Here is a 21478-nt window from a genome sequence, read left to right on the forward strand (position 1 = left end):
TTATTTTAGACCTTTTATTTTGTTTTGTTTTGTTTTGTTTCAGACAGAATCTAACTCTGTCGCCCAGGCTGGAGTGCAGTGGCATGATCTCGGCTCACCGCAACCTCTGCCTCTTGAGTTCAAACAATTCTCCTGCCTCAGCCTCCCCAGTAGCTGGAAGTAGAGGCATGTACCACCATGCCCAGATAATTTTTGTATTTTTAGTACAGACGAGGTTTCATCATGTTGGCCAGGCTGGTCTCGAACTCCTGACCTCAAGCGATCCACCTGCCTCAGCCTTCCAAAGTGCTGGGATTACAGGCGTGGGCCACCGCACACAGCATAATGCTTAATAATGATAAACATCTTTTCATGTGGGCCTTACTAGATTTTTGAAAAGTATATTGAACCATATTTTAAAAGCCCTGTGGATTTTCTTTTTCAAAGATATGCATCCAATACCAAAAATTTTGGTCAAGGGATTTATAAGCCAAAACATTTTTACTCCTTAAAGCTCAATTTTCATACATAAAACTCCTAGAGAAATAAAATTTAGATGTTTTTAGACTCATGGAAAGAAGAATTCGAAATTGTAGATGTCAGAAATCTTTTTTAATTGGTTCTGGAGTCCTTTTTCCATGTTTTGAAAAAAATATTATATATGTAAAAGTTTAGTTCAAACAGCTATTTTGAGGAGCCTGGTTCTCTAGGAGGTGAGAAGCTGTCCCAGTTTTCCCCTCCAATCCAACAAAGCACCATGTGAGGATAAATAGATTTTCAGGGCAACACTCAGAATCTGCATTAGGAGTGGACCTCTTTCTCAGACAGTCATGAGAAATCTTGAGGCTTTAACTTTGGCTTTTAAACATCTTCCTAGATACCTGCAAAGTAGGAGCTAATAGCAGTCATAATAATGGGTGCATAAAAGCAAATTATAATTATTGGTTTAATAATCAACAGTTAATAAGCAAATGGGTATTTTAGTAGAATATGTTCTGCCGATAATGGAAATTGATTTTTTTAAAAAGAAATAAATTGATAACCACAAACTTAATTGAACAGAAAAATCTAAACATTATTAATTAACTTGGAAGAAATATATTCCAAATAAGCTATAGATTGGATAATTAGAAGTTGTTAGTGATAAGAAATTTTTCCTCACCAATCTCATTTTGCTTACTGCTTTTAATGTGATGAGCCTAAAGTGAAACAACATCCTAAATCATAAATAGAAAGAATTGTCTTCCTTTCATTCTTTGAAAGATGATAGTTCATTCTGACTCTCCAGTAAAAGAAGTCTTATCAAATAAAAATGATTAAAAATAAACATCAAAAAAGATAAAACATGAATTTAACATTTATCATTTCACATTTCTGTCAGTAGCATGGCCAATTGTCTACAGTAGAGGTTCCTAGTGGGAGAAGTTAGGGAACTAAGCCCATTAAAATTTCTAATGCACTTAGGATGTAACCGTAGTGTATCTAACAAAATCATATATTATGATGGTAAAATTTTCATTTAAAAATTATGCTTTTCTGAGACCATTGTCTTTAGTGTCTGAAGGAATATAATATATGTTTTAAATATTACTGTGCTTTTTTAAATTATTTTTTGTAGACTCTCTTGACAGAAGTCCAGTTTAACACAGAATTCTCAGCCGTATTTTACCTTTGCCTCTATGTTTATGTTATCTCTGAAGTGGGAATATCTCATGTGTGTGTGAATACACAACAATGTTTGTCTTGGATTTCCATAGAACATAGCGAGAATTGTGAAATCCATGTGTATTTCCGGAGTGAGGGAGAGGAGCCTCCTAAATTATGTTGACTTCGTTTCTCACCTTGTTGTCATTAGAGTCCAATAACAATACAAGTATGTAAGTTCTCCTACCTAGCAGAAAAAAATTTGCTGCGTGATACCGATGTATTTATGGATCCAATTTAGGTTACTACCTTTAATAATTCCCTGTTAGTGTGTAGTGTGCAAGATGAGTTATCCCAGTTTTCCCAAGATCATTCAGATTATGAAGCCATATATTAAGTGGGACAAAATCCCTGTGGCTTCTATTCTGTGGCAAAGTGTATACAAATGAGGAATTGAAAAAACTCTTTTTTTTTGCATTTTTAAAAAATATATAGATTGAAGTGCTTTAGAAGTAAAGAGACAAACTAGAAATAAACAATAAATATAATAGCTAATATTTATTGACCGGGCCCTGCTTTTAGCCTTTTCATGCCATAGATGAATCCTTTGATCCTCAAAAACACATCTGAGAAACATTCTATCATTATCCTCATTTTATGGATGCAGAAATGGAGGCTTAGCCTGCTTAAGTTACTTACCAAAGGTGAGAGAGCAAAGAAATCAAGATTTAAACCCACGTATATCCGATTCTTGAGCAAAAGTGTTTCCTACTTTATCATATTAAAATTTTTCACAATACTTCAGAAACAAACTCTAAATTAAATTGTAATAGAAATACTTTCATTGAGTACTGTTGATTCAACATAAAAATAACTTTAGGGAAAAAATTTTAAAGCATATTTTATGCCAACCAGCAGGTACATAGAATCTGTCAAATTAAAACTAGGTAGTAAAATCATTTTTCTTTCAAATTTTATCACTACCCATTTAAAGTTGTCATTGCTCCTTTATAATAAAATTATTTTTTTCTAAACTACCATTAACTAGTAGTTTTAGCAACTGCAAACATTTTATAAGTACAGCTGTTTACAATGATTACTTTTTCTATATGTTAATGCTATACAGTCATTTACCCTTAAAGTATTTACAAAAGACTCAAAATTAAAAATAAAAAACTACTATTTGTCATTTTTAAACATTGATTTTTCAGTTCTTTACCCTTAGCTTGTACCTTTAATTTCTCTCTCTTTGCTACCTTCGTCCTTCAGTCTATAGCTATCGTATGGTTTTACTCAACTTGAAAAAAAAAAAACATATAAGCTAGTGAGCAAGTAACCATTCCTTAAAGCTGTGCTCTTCCATGGCTTCTATTATAGATTCTCCCTTACTAATCATCCTTAAAGTGAAAGCTACTGTATCCTCTTTGTCACTCTCTATTCACTTTTCAACCCACTGTCATGGGACTCTGCCCCATCTGTCCAGGTTACCACAGCAGTGTCACGTTCACCAGATACTTAGAGTCCTCATCTTAACTAACACTCTCTCACACTCAAACTGAGGATCATTTTTTTTATATTTAGTGCTTATATTGTTTTCCTTGAAAATAGATTTTTTTTTTTTTTTTTTTTTTTTTTTTTTCCAGAGAGAGGAATCTTGCTCTGCTTCTCAGGCTGGAGTACAGTGATGCAATCACAGCTCACTGTAACTTGAACTCCTGGGCTCAAGGGATCCTCCTACCTCAGCCTCCTGACTAGCTGGAACTACAGGAACGTGCCAATACATCCAGCTAATTTTCTGCAGAGAGAGGATCTCTCTATGTTGCCCAGGCTGGTCTTAAACTCCTGACCTCAAGTGATCCTCCTGCCTCGGCCTCCCAAAGTGCTAGGATTACACTTGTGAGCCACCACACACAGCCCTTGAAAAGTTTTCAAGAAGAGAATGTTTTCTCTTCTGTATGCGATGTGTGTGAATGTGTGTGTGCGCTGAGATCATTTTAAGAAATGGAGTTTTAAAAAATCTTTATGTTCTTAACTGGTAAACACTACCTACCTAGGTTCCATTATATCCTGTTTGATTACTGAGCTTTTATTTCTATTAAGTGTCTATGAGAGTTTGTGAGGGTAGCCCAAAGTAACAAGTATTCTACTTAGCTCACTTAAAGTGGGCTGATTACCACCTAGGGTATAAGTCAAGATTTCTGGCTCTTTTATTTGGACCTATGCTAATAGTTTTGCTTGATATATGAAATTAAATGATGGCGGGCACTCTGTAAAACAGAGCAGGGAGATGGGTTTAGTAAAATGTAGTCACTTTAATGAGGGGTTGGGAAGAACTGGATCTGAGCTGAGAATCCTACTGAGGCAAATGGCAAAGAGAAAAATCTTTTGTTCAATCTGAAACCGTTGGGTTTGTAACACATTTTTTTCCCACATAAATCAGTTTGATATCTAATTCACAGACACTGTTGGACAGCACAGCAATTGCAGCCAGGGTAGATGGGAGTGAAAGCTAGTATATCTTCTTGTCTTCGTAGTAACTGTATCTTTTCTACAAAGGTCAGTAATAACAATTTCATTTGGGGACTGTAATACAGAAGGTTAAAAATCAAATGAAATGTACAAGTGTCATTTTCCTTATTCTTGTTTTTCCTTAAAGTCTTGGGGAGTAAGTACTATTATAGATTTTGAAAATTATTCGCATGATGTGGGATAATGATGTCCAGCAGATTTAAGTACCCACTGGTAATTATTTATCCCGAAGAAAATCATATACAGAATTCTAATACATGAAATAAATATAACAATAACTAAGTTCCATTAAGTGTTTACAATGAGCCAGGCATTGTGCTAAGTACCTTGTACATATTAACTTGTTTAATCATCAAAACAATTCAATATGGTAAGAACTATTATGATCCCTAACAGACTAGGAATTTGAAGCTTGGAAGAATTACATAATAACGTAACCAAGGTACCACAAAAATAGTAAGTAGTAGATCTAGATTTATTCTCAAACAACACTACTAATGGACACAGATAAATGTATACCTCCTTCAAACGATGGGGGGACTGATGCATAAACTTGGGTGGTTTTGGCTAGGTCCACGTTTTGACCTCACAGTATTTTCTAAGGAAATTCCCAGGACCCTCTGCTCTAGTGTATTTAAAGAAAGATAAAATCTGAATTTTGCATTCTAACTCTCGGAATACGTGCTGTTTGAAGTTCTCTCATTACTGAACTTCCATTAAAATCTTTTTAAACGAAGAAAAAAGGCATAAGCAGACCGGAATCATCATTTACCCAGTTACTCAGGTTACATACAACCCTAAAGCCAAATTGGATGCTATACTTGCCCCCACAGTGTCACATGCAACCCGTCAAAAAAGTTCAATATTTTTCTTTCACCAAATACAGGCATATTTTGGAGACATCACACGATGTCTCCAAACCAGAACAAATTTTCTGGTTTCTCAGCACATGTAAATGTTATGTTTGCACTATACTGTAGCATAGTAAGTGCAATAGTATGATGCCAAAGAAAAAAATGTACATAGGGCCATTAGAAATAATTTATTGCTAAAGAATGCCAACAATCATCTGGGCCTTTAGTGAGTCAGGATCTTTTTGCTGATGAAGAGTCTTGCCAGGATATTGATGACTGCTGACTGATCAGGGTGGTGATTGCTAAAGGTTGAGGTAATGGTGGTAATTTCTTAAAAGAAAACAGTGAAGTTTGTCATACCAATCACCTCTTCCTTTCACAAAAGGTTTTCTGTAGCATGCCATGCTATTTGATAGCATTTACCCAGAGTAGAGAAGAACTTCTGTCAAAATTGGAGTCTATCCTCTCAACCTTGCTGCTGCTTTATCAATTAAGTTGATGGAATATTCTAAATTATTTTTTGTCATTTTAGCAATGTTCCCAGCATCTTCACCAGGAATAGACTCCACTTCAAGAAACCACTTTTATTGCTCATTCACTAGATTCAATGCTTCATTCATTCAAATTTAATCATGAGATTGCAGGAATCCAGTCACATCTCCAGGCTCCAATTCTAATTCTTATTCCCTTGCTATTTACAGCACATCTGCCATTACTTCCTCCATTGAACTGTTGAACCCTTCAAAGTCATTCATGAGTGCTGAAATTTACTTCTTCTAAACTCCTGCTCATGTTGATATTTTGACATGCTCTCATGAATCATGAATATTCTTAATGGCATGTAGAATGATGAATTTGTTCCAGAAAGTTTTCAATTTACTCTGCCCAAATATATCAGAAGAATCACCTATTTATGGCAGCTATAGACATGAAATGTATTTCTTAAGGGTGATAAGACTTAAAAGTTAAAATTACCCCTTGATCTATGGACTACAGACTGGATGTTGTATTAGCGGGCATGAAAACAACATTAATCTCCTTGTACATCTCCATCAGAGCTCTGGGGTGACCAAGTGTGTTGTCAATAAAGAGTAATATCTTCAAAGTAATCTCATTTTCTGAGCAGTAGTTCTCAACAGTGCACTTAAATATTTAGTAAACCATGCTGTAAACAGATGTGCTGTCATCCAGGCTTTAATGTCCCACTTACAGAGTGCAGGTAGAATACATTTAGTATAATTCTGAAGGGCCCTAGAATTTTTGAAATGGTAAGGAATACTGGCTTCAACTTAAAGTCATCAGCTATATTAACCCTAACAGGATGGTCAGCCGTCCTTCGAAACTTTGAAGCCAGGCATTGACTTTCTGGTTATGAAAGTCCCAATGGCATCTTCCTTTAATGTAAATGAAAATTTGTTTAATGTAGCCACCATCGTCAATGATCTTAGCTAGATCTTCTGGATAACTTGCTGTAGCTTCTACATCAGCACTTGCTACTTCACCTTGCACTTTTATGTTACAGAGATGACTTCTATTATGCACCCTCATGAACCAGCCTCTACTAGCTTCCAACTTACCTTCTGCAGCTTCCTTACCTCTCCAATGCCTGAAGTTTAGATTTCTCTGAACTTCTGTTTTCTACACAGCACATAGACTAGTACCTGAAGATGTAAAGATTCCTCATAGTAGCTGGTGAATTAATGAATTGATTTTAAAATATAGTGTAACAAACCCTAGTTTATCTTAATAAAAATCCTTTGTAAGAATAGAATTATTTCCAATATTTACAAAATATGGTAGTCCATGAGATTATCAAGAAGTAGGCTTAGAAAAAAAGGATTTAATAAATTTCACAAGTGTTTAAGAAACTTCTTACCAAAATAAGCTTTCTATTTGGCCTGTCACATTGGAATTCAAATGGCATTGAAATACTTCCAGTTCCCTTTAAACTTCAATGTAAAAATTACATTTTTAGTGTTTAAAATGAAGTATATCTGATAATGGTCTTCTCCAAATCTAATCTAAATGGTAGATTCCTTAAACTACCTCATGCAGGCCTATTTAATTTCCTCTTAAATTGTCAAAATCTATTTTTTAGTTGAACTCATTGTGTAGATCACTTTAACAGCTTTTTTTCTGAAAATATCTAATGATGTTATACCTCTATACATACTCCATTAACTTAAAAAAATGAATTTAGAACTCTAAATGTGTGATTTTTATGTGTGAAAAGATTCTTACTTAGGCAAACTATATTCTATTATCTTTAAAATAGACTGCATTATCAATTCAAATGTATAACTGATCAAATTAGAAGAGAGTGATCAAAAATAGTCATATAGGCAACTCCTAATTAATATTAGATTTAACTTTCTCTCTACTTCAGTTATGTAGAAATAGTGGTTTAAAGATAATGCTACATTATCAGAAGTCAAAATAGTTTTTAAAACATGCCTACAGGCATATTTTTCAAGTTTCCTTATTGTTCTGAAGACATGGCTGCTCAAATCTGGATCTTCAAATATTTGAATTATCAGAAACTTCAAGATTCTACACCCAGACATCACCGTCCTTATAAACAATTTATCACTTTAGAATTGTTGCCAAAGCCTAATAAAAACTCTAATCCTCTCTAGAGAAGGAACCTTGATTTTGTCTTTTTCTTCTCCAGTGCAGTAGTTTTCAGAGTGTGTTCCCTGAATCAGCATCACCTGGCAAAGTGTTAGAAAGCAAATTCTTGGGCACCAGCCCAGACCTACTGAATCAGAAGTTCTGGGAGTGGCGCCCTACAATTTATGTTTGCGAAGCCCCGCAGGTGTTTCTGATGCAGTATAAAGTTTGAGAAAGACTATACTGGCCTTAGGATAATATCTGGCATTCACAGGTTCTTTTATTCATCAACTGAGCAGAATTAAATCAAAATGAGTAAAATAAAGTAAATCAGGTGCCTGATATAAGGAACCAGAAATTCCTAAAATTTAGTTGCCTGAGGCAGAACTACATAAACACATAATATCTCAATTTTCACTGATTTCCAGTTTACTAATTAAAAAAAAATGAGGTGATCCATTTGGGTAAAATTTTTTAAAAAACTCTAACTTCACAAAATGTTTGACAGTCTTTTTACCTTTTATCCATGTCTGTCAAGCTTATTAAATTGAAGATAATACTAAACAGAATGTCATGAGTTTAAAATAATGATTTTATTATCCCCCTGTAAAGACATAACCATGTTTTCTTCAATACTCAAAAATGATAGCATTGACCCTCAATCAATAGATGTTTCACGTGTGATGAATTTGTTCTACTACATCTAAAGAGTCCCTGTAGCTACTAACAGCACTCAATAGAGGGTCCATTAGGGATTCTTCATGGCACCCAACTGATACATTCATTCAAACAACTACTTAGTAAGTGCCCACAAGGTACTTAATTACTGCCAGACATTGAACAGGATACAAGGCAATGTAGGGCAATTCTGTTCTCCAGGATTCTATAATGTGGCCTGGAATTAAAAGTAAAGAAAAGGAAAAGGGCCACACATTTTTCTCATACCATCATGTGCCAGGCACTGAATAGAGCAGGAGAAATAAACTATATCAGTAAATCCATGTTACCACTCAGGGAAGTTGGCTTCATTCCCAGATTACAAATAAGGAAACAATAGTTTGAGAGATGCTGAGAACTTGTTCAAACTCATCAGGTAAGAAACAAGGGAGGTAAAATTTAAAATCAAAACTGATTTTTAAGTGTCCACTGTACCTTACACTATATCAGTTCTTATATAAAAAATCAGCAGCAAGTCTTAGAGGAATACAATAAATGCCTAAATGAATGATGCACATTATTTGCTGTAGGGCGATTAGAAAAGGAGCAGTAACTGTGGATGAGGAAGTGAAGCCTTCCCAGTAAAAGTTCAACACAGATCTTCATTGAAAGAAAATGGTTTGTAGCTTGGATAAAGGAAAGAAGTAAATGTATTCCAGATGGGAAAAACTGTTAAACAGAAATGTGTAGTCAGGAACAAGAAAGGCAGGTTCCAGTAGAGTGGCAAAAATCAGCTCAGCACATTTAGTTGCCAAATAAATGATGTAGAATGGCTTTGCTTGGCTCTAGCTATGCATGAAGGCACACATTTTAACAACGAAAGGGGAGTGGTGAACAGTGCCACTTAGCTTTACTTAAGTGGTGTATTTACTGCCTGTGTCCGTGTACATTCAGTCAAGGTTTTGAAGTGCCTGCTTCTTTTGGCTCTAATTTTGTATATGCATTATCTTTCTTCATGTAAGTGATCATTCTGCTCCTCTCCTCTGCAACCAACAGGATTAGTTCACTTTAGCCATATTATTTCTCAAAAAAAAAAAAAAAAAAAAAAACTCACAGGTACTCTTTCATATATTTCTCAAGTCCCTACAGCTGAACAAGTTCTTAAAAATATCAGGTCTCTGGCCGGGTGCAGTGGCTCACGCCTGTAATCCCAGCACTTTGGGAGTCCAAGGTGGGCGGATCAAGAGGTCAGGAGTTCGAGACCAGCCTGGCCAACACAGTGAAACCCCATCTCTACAAAAAATACAAAAATTAGCTGGGCGTGGTGGCGTGTGCCTGTAATCGCAGATACTCAGGAGGCTGAGACAGGAGAATCACTTGAACCCTAGAGGCAGAAGTTGTGGTCAGCCAAGATTGCACCTCTGCACTCCAGCCTGGGCAACAGAGCAAGACTCTGTCTGAAAAAAAACACAAAAAACAAAATAACAATATCCACTCTCCCAGGTACTTATTTGTAGTTACTATAATGTGCCTGAAAGACACAAGTTCTACCATGAGTAATTCAGTATTCATTCAACTTGAATAACTACAGGGTTAGGAGAGTCATTTTGAAAATGGTTAGGATTATTAGTTAGTGTTAAGAAAATATTTTTAGATAGTTATGGTAGGTAAAGTATGTCTGAAGAAAAGATGTATTTGATTGACTTATCCTTTAACTTCAGTGAATTTTTATATCTCTGTATTTATTTTGAATCAAAATCCCCAGGTACAGGTAGGAGAATTTAAGACAAAATTTCAATAGCACCTCTGTTTTCCTGTCTTGTTACAGTCCTCTATGTGGTAAGAAATGTTTTTGTCATTTGCTTTCTGTGAATTTCAAAGTGATGTCCTGTGATAAAATAGTGGTTCCCCTAAGATCTTTTATTTACCCTGGGAATGTCATTGATCCAAAAGAAGATAATAAAATCAGCAATAAAATAGTAAACATTCTGTATGGGATATCACAGTTTTAATTGACTACAGACACTCAAATCAATTTTTCAATCTGCATACACATGACAAGGTCAGCAACATGGGAAGCTGATGTTGCTTTCCTTTATAAGAGATATATTTAAGATTTGTAATATAAACATGAAGTATGGTACTTTGTATATCTCTTTATATATCTCTTAAAAAATGGACTTTAAAACTGTAGATATTAATGACACTTCAATGTAATTTTTAAACAAATTTTAACAAAAATTACTTAGAAAATATTTTGCTTAGTTTTCTTACAGGTTTTTTAAAAATAGTATATTTGATGATAATGTGATTAAAGAATACACACCAATTTTTTTATATTATACTTTAACTTCTAGGGTATATGTGCACTACGTGCAGGTTTGTTACATATGTATACATGTGCCGTGTTGGTTTGCTGCACCCATTAACTTGTCATTTACATTAGGCATTTATTCTAATGCTATCCCTCCCCCTGACCCCCACCCCATGACAGGCCCCAGTGTGTGATGTTTCCCGCCCTGTGTCCAAGTGTTCTCATTGTTGAATTCCCACCTATGAGTGAGAACATGCGGTGTTTGGTTTTCTGTTCTTGTGATAGTTTGCTGAGAATGATGGTTTCCATCTTCATCCATGTCCCTGAAAAGGACATGAACTCATCCTTTCTTTTATGGCTGCATAGTATTCCATGGTGTATATGTGCCACATTTTCTTAATCCAGTCTATCAATGATGGACATTTGGGTTGGTTCCAAGTCTTTGCTATTGTGAATAGTGCCGCAATAAACATACGCATGCGTCTTTATAGTAGCATGATTTATATACTTGGGTATATACCCAGTAGTGGGATGGCTGGGTCAAATGGTATTTCTAGTTCTAGATCCTTGAGGAATTGCCACACTGTCTTCCACAATGGTTGAACTAGTTTATACTCCCACCAATAGTGTAAAAGCGTTCCTATTTCTCCACATCCTCTCCAGCATCTGTTGTTTCCTGACTTTTTAATGATCGCCATTCTAACTGCACACCAATTTTTTAAATAAAATTTATTTTTATCAAAATTTCCTGTGTACTCAGAAAAAAAGTGCCGTACATATAAAACTAATAATGTAATATAGGAATTGCTTCTCTACATCTCCCTACATGCTCTTCCCACTCTAGCGAAGCAACCTTCAATTTTTGTTTTGTTTTGTTTTAGCTACTTTTGGTATTTTTCAAATATTTTAAATAAAATTTTCACACTGTTTTTTCTTGATTTCCTAGATACTGATATCTATTGATATACTAAGTTGCAAGATGAGAATTTAGGTTGCATATGTCATCTCTCACATGAAGTTACCCTTACCCCCCTTCTAATATAGTTTTAACACATTTATAACTAAATTCATATTCAGTATTATCATTTATATGACTGTCTTTGTTTGGGTTGCTATAATAAAAATACCATAGACTGGGTAATTTATAAACAACGTAAGTTTATTGCTCACAGTTATGGAGGCTAAGAAGTCCAAAGTCAAGGCACCAACAGATTGGGTGTCTGGTGAGGGCTCCCTCTCTGCTTTAAAGATAGCACCTTCTCACTGTGTCCTCACATGGTGCAAGGGCAAAAGGTGATAATCAGCTTCCTCACACCTCTTTTATAAGGGACTAATCCCTTTCACAAGGGCTCTGTTCTCATGACCTAATCACCTCCCAAAAGCCCCACCTTCTCATATGGTCACTTTGATGAGTAGGTTTTCATGTAAGAATTTTGAGGGAACACATTCAAGCCACAGTATTCTACTCCTGGCCCTCCAGGATTTATGTCCTTCTCACATGTAAAATATATTTATTCCAGACGAATAGCTCCAAAGTCTTTTTTTTTCTTTTCTTTTTTGAGATGGAGTCTCATTCTTTTGCCCTGGCTGGAGTGCAGTGGTGTGATCTCGGCTCTTAGCAACCTCTACCTCCACGGTTCAAGCATTCTCTTGCCTCAGCCTCCCAAGTAGCTGGGATTATAAGCATGTGCCACCACACCCAACTAATTTTTGTGTTTTTAGTAGAGACAGGGTTTCATCACGTTGGCCAGGCTGGTCTCGACTCCTGACCTTGTCAAGTGATTTACTTGCCTTGGCCTCCCAATGTGTTAGCATTATAAACGTGAACCACCGCACCTAGCACCCAAAGTCTTAACTTGTTCCAGCATTAACTGAAAAGTCTGAAGTGCAGAATCTCATCTAAATATCATCTAAATCAGATATGGGTGTGACTCAAGATGGGAATTATCCTGAGGCAAATTTGCCTCTAGCTGTGAGCCTGTGAAATAAAACAACTTATGTGCTTCCAACATACAATGATTGGACAGACATAGAAAACACATTTCCATTCCAAAAAGAAGAAATAGAAAGGAAAAAAAGTGGTAACTTGTCCCAAGTCCAAAATGTAATGTTGCAAACAACATTAAATCTCAAGGCTGGAGAATAATTCTTGAGTAGATATCCTGCCTTTCAGGCACACTGGGTCAAGCATCGGGCCCCCAAGTTTCCAGGAAGCCCTGCCCACATGGGTTTGCAGAATACAACCAGTATTGCAGCTCTCACAGGGTTTGCGGAATGCAACCAGTATTGCAGCTCTCACAGGGTTTGCGGAATGCAACCAGTATTGCAGCTCTCACAGGTTAGACTTGCATGCTGAAGGCTGTACTATTCTGGAATCTCAAGGGTGACCTCACCCCCAGAGCTTCACCAGACATTGCCCTAATGGGATCCCTCTGTGGTGGCCCCACTCCTGTGGCTGTTCACTGCCTAGGTCCTCAGACTCTCTGGAGCTTCATTTGAAATCTAGAGTCATCCGTGCCTCCACAGCTCATAAATTCTGTGCATCTACACCTGTGGAGATGGCACTGTGCAGATGCCATCATTGTTTACCATCTGTACCTTGCAGAGAGGCAGCCCAAGCTGTACCTGGGCCCACATGAGCAACAGTAAGACAGGGCAAGGAGTGCTGTTCCAGAATGGGGAGAGCAGAGACTTAAAATTTTTCTGTTCCCAAGGTCCTGGATTTCTAAGCTTATGATGGGAGTGGCCAGCCCGATGATCTCTGAGATGCATTTGTGGAGTTCTTCTGTCCATTGGCTTGATGAATAAGAGCCCCTGGCTTCCACCAATCCATAGTAACCTTATCAAATACAAACAGTGGAATGGTCACATCCTTGGTGTTCTCTATTTTTCATTTGCAACATTGCCAGGCTGAGAATTTTCCAGATCTTTTTCTGCTTCCATTTTGATTATAATTTTTTCTTTAATTTGTTTCTCTCTTCTTACATTTTACTATAAGCAATTTAGAGAAGCCATGCTACATCCTCAGTACTTCCACCAAATATCCTATTTCAGTGCTTGTAAGTTTCACCTTCCACGAAACCCTGGGACACGATTCAGTCAAGTTCCTTGTCACTTAATAACAAGAATCACCTTTCCTCAAGTTTCCAATGACATGTTTCTCATTTCTATCTGAGACCTCATCAGAATGACCTTTATCATACACATTTCAATCAATATTCTGATCACAACCATTTAGGTAATCTCTAAAAAGATTGAGGCCTTCCCTACAGTTCTCTTCTTCAGAGCCCTCAAAATAACCCCATTTTATGGTAAATTCATAGCTTTTTCTAGCACGTACCTTCAGATTCTCCCAGGTTCTGCCCATTACCCAGTTCCAAATCTGCTCCACATTTTAAGTTATTTGTTATAGCAGCACCCCAGTTTTGGGTACCAAATTCTGTGTTTGTCAGTTTGGGCTGCTGTAACAAGATACTTTAGAATGGGTAATTTATAAACAATGTAAATTTATTGCTCACAATTATGGAGACTGAGAAGTTCAAGATCAAGGTGCCAACAGATTCCGTGTCTGATGAGGACTCCCTTTCTACTTTAAATTGGTGCCTTCTTACTGCATCCTCACATGGTAGAAGGGCAAAATTTGATAACCAGATCCCTCACATTTGTTTATAAGTTCACTAATCCTACTCATGACGGTTATGCTCACATGACCTAATCACTTCCCAAAGGGCCCATCTTCTAATACCAGCACCTTCATGACTAGGTTTCAACACAGGAATTTTGGAGGGATACAAACATTCAGATCATAGCAATAGCCATCTAAACATTTTTTTCTAGTTTCAGGGAGGATCTGACTGATAATTCAATGTGTACTTTCATTCAATCATATTAATTTTTTGTTCAGCACCATACCGAAGTATCCACATATCCATTGATTCCAAATTGCTTTACCACCTGTACTTTGCAGAGGGAATATGGAACTAAGGAATATACAGATAGTTTTGTGTGGTACTAAACAACAACACCACCACACCACACCACACACACACACACACACACACACACACACACACACACACAAATCTCATCTTTAAAAAAAAAACAAACTTCAGAGTAAGATTTTTTTGTTTCTGCTCCAAAAGTGTGTATAAAAAACCTGCAATAGATCAAAGTCCTTACCTCTTCATCTAGTGGTAACTTTTTCCCTTTGAACTCTGAGAATGACACCAGTATTGGTGGTTTTAATTTCTGTTGCCCTCTTTGGATGAGCATATTTACAACTACTGAAGTTCAAACTTGTCACATTGACTTTGCATTTATTTTTTATATTATCTTTTAAATTGGCATAGTTTAGAATGCCTAATGGTTTCATTCTTTATATTTATGTCATAATTTGTTACCTAAATTAAAATAAAATGTTTCAAGAAAGGGAACTAACACTTTTGTTTTTTATTAAAATAAAAAGAAACAACAAACTGTATTGTCTTTATATAGACTTCTTGTTTATAACCTTGATATTTCTAGAACTTAATATAGATTTCTATATTTTATTAAACTACATCTCAAAAGCCACTATTGATTTCTATAAATTGACATAGCCATTGACTTAATAAAGAGGACTTAATTCAGCTCTGCAGGAAAATCTTATTCTTTATCCAAGATTTGCTGTCTTTTCAACTTCATTCAGAAATTTGGCAGATTGGATAACCCTTGACATTTTGGTGAACCACCTGACAATTTCAATTATAGTTTGAATTTCAAACAGCAAATATTTGAGGTGTTTCAGATTCCAAATCATATCCAACTCTCAACCCTAAAAATGTCCTTTTCTTGGCTCTCAATAACATTTTTTCCATTTGAAATGTTTCCTTTTTAAGTTTCTTAGTCATATTCAAAGCTAAAGATAAGGATTTTTGAACAGTGTCAACTTTTATTAGGACAGAGAGAAAATACACAATTTAGCAATATGACCTACGCTATTTCCTAGCTTTAGAGCTAGATCATCCTTTAACTAATTATTTTTCTTTTGTGTTACTGTTTTAATCATAATTCATATTGGATGTTTTGGGTCTTTGACATAATTCTTTTCATTAGATTTGCAGATACCTTTATTCATAAAGCAAGTTTAAGTAAAAGAAAGTTAAGGTATAATTTTCAATATAATATAAATATGATTTAGAATTTTTGAAAATTATTTGTGATTTCTATGGCTTACAGTAGATAATCTACAAAATAATTTGAAGAATATTTAGAAATTAATCTTAATTTATCTCAGAAATTTTATTAGTTCTGAGAATGATCTGGCATAATTGCAAGTATTAAAAATTTCAGATAAAGTTGATTATGCATTTTTAATAGTGTACATGCAAAATAAAATTTAATAAAATTAGAAGGATGAAGAAGCACGTGTTTTATTTTTAATGGAGATTTTTATTCATTTTTAGCACAAAAAATAGCAAAACTCTAGATAGTCTTTGCAATAATGTACTGGTAGTATGTATGATGAAAAACCATACCTGGAAAGAATGTAACCATGTTAAAGGATCAGTTGGTAAGAAATGTTGCTTTCCTGCTTCTTACTACTCTGTATATCAGAATCTGAACTGCCATAGCAAGCTGTCTTCCTCTTTGCTCACATACCTAACTTCTAAAATGTTGAGAGAGATTCTTTATGGCCCTTATAAATAGAAACATTAATTTGTTGAACGTAATTGAACCCACAAAATGATTTTTAAATTATATGTAATTTTAATTTGCAACACTTATACAAATATAATTTTAACAAATTTACTCTAAATATATTTTATACAAATTATAAATTGTGCACAGAGCCATTATTACATATCTTTATTTCTTTATCACTAAGTGTTGTTTTAAAAAAAATCTTACCTTTGGAATAATACTGAAAATAGCAATAAACATTTATTTTTCTTTTTGTCACATCAAGATTTGTCTAATTCTCTCCCATGTGTCCCAAATTGCTTTTATCCAAGCCCAATCTGCCCTGCCATATCAATTATTATTGTCAAGTAATATGTAACTATCTTCATAACAGTATCAATCTCTGCTTTTAATTTACTCAAAATTCATTTCAAGCATATTTTATTTATCAAAAACATTTCAAGAAAATTTTATCTCTGCAATATGTTCTGGAAAATGCCAACCATAAATTGCTTGCTCATTATACCCATAATATCTTCTATCTATTTCTATATGACCATTCATTGTTCTTTTTACACCTTCACAATATCTCTTTCTAACAACAATATTCTGCCCTTTATATTCTACATTTGAAGACTTGATGGTGATTGGATAATGTTCCATTTTATTTTCACTGGGGCTTATGTCTTATGTCCCCTTACAGACATAACCATGATTCTAGAAGACAGGAACAGTAATTTACCTAGAGAGGAACTGAATCCATAACCTTACTAACACTTTGCTTTTTTAACAAAATGGGGCAACCAGCAACTGAAATCATTCCATTTAAAATAATTTCACACCTCACCGAAAGAACTTGAAAAATGAAGCCTTACAATAGGCCAATATTCTATTTTTAGGAAAATAGATAGCCTTCTCTAACAAATACATTTTTCTCTTAAATCCTTACATTAGAAACTTGAATGATAAACACTTCAGTGAATAGTTTACAACTTATAGTGTAAGATACAAGATTTTATTCCTAAAAGCAAAGGATGGGTAGGTCTTAAGAAAGGAGATTTCAGACCAGGCACTGTGGCTCACGCCTGTAATCCCAGCACTTTGGAAGGCCAAGGTGGGCAGATTACCTAAGGTCAGGAGTTCAAGACCAGCCTGGCCAACACGTGGAAAGGCAAAACCCATTGCTACTAAAAATACAAAAAATAGCCAGCATGGTGGCAGGTGCCTCTAATCCCAGCTACTCGGGAGGCTGAGGCAGGAGAATTGCTTGAACCTGGGAGGCAGAGGTTGCAGTGAGCCAAGACTGTGCCATTGCACTCCAGCCTGGGCAACAAGAGCAAAACTCCATCTCAAAAAAAAAAAAAAAAAAAAAAAAGAGATTTCTGTTGATTTTAAAATTATCCTGAGCTAACCACACTGTCATACTGCAAATCAGGGTGAAATGTGTCCATAAGAACAAGCCTGCCGAACTAAGGTATTGCCTGCCTTATCTCATGAGATAATTATTTGTTCTGTAGTGGGGTGCATATATTTTTAAAATGTGTTACACCAATGTGTCTACAAAAGAAACAAATGAAAAGCAAAACAACAACAAAAAGATCACATCATTTCAACAATTGTGGTGATCAAAACCACAGAATATTTACTTCAAGTATGTCCTTGTCCTTAATTAGCACAAGAATTAGTGCTACCAGAATACTCTTAAAGACTCTCTTCTAATAATTCTATCATCAAGTCATCTTGGAAGGAAAGCTTTTAAAGCCAGTCAGCCAGCCTGCTTAATGACTGTTTCTGTAGAGGAATACAAGTAGCTCCCAGAATTACAGTTGTCAGCCCATCTCCTTGGGTCTGAAGGAGACCGAGGGATCATTATCAAATAGATCATTTGATATGGTTTGGCTGTGTCCCCACCCAAATCTCATCTTGAATTGTAGTTCCCATAATCCCCACGTGTCATGGGAGAGACCCGGTGGGAGGTAATTGAATCATGGGGTCAATTACCCCCATGCTGCTGTTCTCATGATAGTGAGTGAGTTCTTACGAGATCTGATGGTTTTATAGGGGCTTTTGCCCCTTTTGCTCTGCACTTCTTCCTGCCACCATGTGAAGAAGGACGTGTTTGCTTCCCCTTCTGCCATGATTGTAAGTTTCCTGAGGCCTCCCCAGCCACACTGAACTGTGATTCAATTAAACCTCTTTCCTTTGTAAATTACCCAGTCTCAAGTATGTCCTTAGAGCAGCATGAGTATGGACTAATATATCCTTATTTGCTCTTTTCCTTTTGTATTCTGACATGAGTAAACTGTGAAATTGTGCTAAATAGAGATGTATGCTAACTGTGAAACACTGATAATTATTTCAGTAAACTATGATACATATAAGAGATTTAAAACGGGTATATGCTTCTTTAAAATAGACGAAGAAAGTCTTGGCATACATCTCCAGGATACCCCCTGAATTATAGGCCACAATTGTACCTCACAGCATTTATGGCCTCAACTCTAGTAACAGAAACACACCTTAGTCCTATTCTGTAGTTCCTAATAAAGATTGATTCTCAAAATAAAAACTGACTAAAGGGCAGAAATACATACAGTAATCTTCAAGAATTTTTTCTCTTTATCTGCCTGGAGTTAGTTGAAGCAAGCTTTGACAAGTCATTTATTTAACAGTTTAGCGGAACTCATTCCTACTCTTGAACCTGGAATGGAATGTAAGAAATAAAGAGCAGTGGAATCCAATGATGTATTTCAGGATATAATTGGTTGTCTATACTCAAGGCTGATCTTATCACTTGAGATGAAAAAAGAAAAACAAAACATGGTAGTGGAAAAAAGTTTATGTTTACAAACCCTGAAAACTTAATTCTTGTAAATAACATCACCACAAATAGAAAATATGTGTCATCAAACTAATTTGTGCAAAGCTATAATTTGTGTAGCAATGATTGAAGTATAAATATAACACTTTAGTGTGTTTTAAGGAGTTTTTTTCAGATATGCTATTTTCTCTTTACAATAGGCTTGAAAATATAGTATTTTTTTCTAAAACAAGCCTTTTGTCTTTCCTTCTATGGAAAGATGCATGTCTTTAGTTATTTCTGCTGGACTATTATGTGTGGACTGGCAGGTATTGGCATACTTTTCATAATCCTAATAAGTATCCGGTGTAGCCAGTCTGAAAGCTCATTTAGAACAGGACAAACTCTGTCTTGCTTGTTGAAACAACTCCAGTACCTAGCAATGTGTCTGGTACATTCTTCAGGTGCTCAACAAGGCAGAATGGCTTTGTTTATTAATTAAATAATATAGACTCAAATCCATTCAGTCCCTGACCAGGACTCTTCATAAAACAGTGGATCTCAAAATCATTCCCTGAACCTACAATATTGCATCAACTGAGAACTCGTTAGAAATTAAAATTTTCAGACCCCATGCCAGACCTTCTAAATCAGAAACTATTGGGGTAGGCCCAGCAATCTGTGTTTAAAAAGCCCTCCAGGTGATTATAACGTATGCTAAACTTGAGCACCATTGATGTAAACAATACTCAAATACATTGTGCACAGCTTTTTAGAATTATGAGAGTGGCTTAAGGGTATATTACAAGAAGACAATTCCTATGGACAGATTGTGAATAATTTTAATTTCTCAAGAATTTTGTTCTAATTTTTTTATGTATAGGATAGTTGGAACGTATGTTCTACTTCTTACAAGTATCTTTATTTTAACTATAGGACTACTCCCCTCATGTAACAAATTGTGTAATTTGTATAGGAAGGCTGACTCAGTTTGAGTTACTGGTACAGATACTGAGACAAGGAGTTGAATGCAGATGGCTTATTAAGGAGGTGTTCCCAGGAAGCACAAGTGAGGAAGTGGTGAACATGAGAGAGGGTAAGGAGAAAAGCCAGTCAAGCATGTGTTAACAAGAAAGGGTTACAACTGTGGGCAAATAGGTCTCAATCCTGTGGAGAACCATCTGAGAAAGCATGTGTGGAATATATCTCAGAATCACCCAGTGGAGAGTGGAGAGACTGAAACATTTATGTACTTACTTCCAGCTCCACTGTTTGAGAGTTGATCTCCAGTGGTTCTAACATATGCCATATTCCAGGTTATATTTGTGTATGGCCAAATAAGCTGGACAACGTCATCAGGCAGAGAAGATGAGACACAGCACTTGAGGTGGGACATGTCAATACACTGGAAGGTTGAATTGTCACTGCCTTGAGAATGGAAGAAGAGCAGAACTGACTATATACAGAAAAAGAATGAGGGTCAGCTTTAACTAGGGGTTAGAAGCCATGAATTTGCAATAACACCAAAGCACCCAGTTGTGTGTTCCATTTCTAGGAAAGGTAGAACAGTGAATTCTAAGACATATAAATGGCATTCAGAGTAACTCTAATTGTTTTATAGGAAGTATGCAATCATAAACGCTGACAGATAAGCATACATGTAAAATTTTTAAGAAAGGTTATGATCACTAAAATATAGCAGATGACTTCGAATGTTCTTGCTTTATGTGATCACAAATGGGCTCCTTTGTCGAATTCTAGAATTCTGCTCTGCAAGTGACATTTTGTTTGAGCAGTTGGCATCTGGTACCTCAGTTTCAACTGACTTTTTGTTACTAAACACAGTTCGAACACCGTAAGGTAATTTTTCAATGGTAAGAAAAGGTAGTTTATACTTCATCCTAGTGAAATAACTCAGGCAGGGAAGTCAATTGCTTGGAATTATGGAAAGTTTCCATGCTATCAAGCCCAACACCATTTGAAAACATTTTTTACAGTAGGCCACAAAGCTGCCTTTTTATGGAAGAAACTATGAAAGAAATTTTAGAAACCCCAGAAAGCTCCAAGGTCCTGTTCTGATTCAGTAAAAATTTCAAAGACTATACCTCCTGAGCTTACTTTGAGAATGACAAAACACAAGTAGCTTAGGAAGACGGACATGGAAATTCACCTTTTGCATTTCCCTGCATTTTCTTTTGGATATTTTGCACAGAAAAACAATAAAACCTTTTGATTTTTGTTTTCCTGTGAAGTCTTTTAATTTTAGTAGAATCATCAACATTTTATGCCACTCTTAAAATTCTAGAAAGCAAAATCCCCATGTAATACTGGAAAAGTCCAAGGATAACAGAAATATTGAACTAGGACTGTTTTTTAATGAGAAATAATTAGCCTCCATAGTAGCTTCATCAACGATGAGCTACTTATAAC

The 21478-nt window shown here is 35.7% G+C and overlaps 1 protein-coding gene across 16 annotated transcripts in view; it reads left to right on the forward strand.

The window, feature by feature from the left end:
- Positions 1 to 21478, forward strand: part of GRID2 (glutamate ionotropic receptor delta type subunit 2) — a 1506491-nt gene that overhangs the window by 871183 nt on the left and 613830 nt on the right. Inside the window, exon 1 of one of the 16 annotated variants that reach the window (XM_047450136.1) lies at positions 20691 to 20908. The exons of 14 other annotated variants lie outside the window; for them this stretch is intronic. Coding sequence is in view for 1 of the 2 variants with exons in the window: in XM_011531894.3 (XP_011530196.1) it covers positions 20920 to 20922 (3 nt within the window). In the remaining variant the exon portion in view is untranslated. Of the gene's footprint in view, positions 1 to 20690; positions 20923 to 21478 lie in introns of those variants that run through there. One more of the 16 variants, XM_011531894.3, reaches the window with a different exon arrangement.

The sequence above is a fragment of the Homo sapiens genome, chromosome 4 (genome assembly GCF_000001405.40).
Source record: "Homo sapiens chromosome 4, GRCh38.p14 Primary Assembly".
NCBI classification, from domain to species: Eukaryota; Metazoa; Chordata; class Mammalia; order Primates; family Hominidae; genus Homo; species Homo sapiens.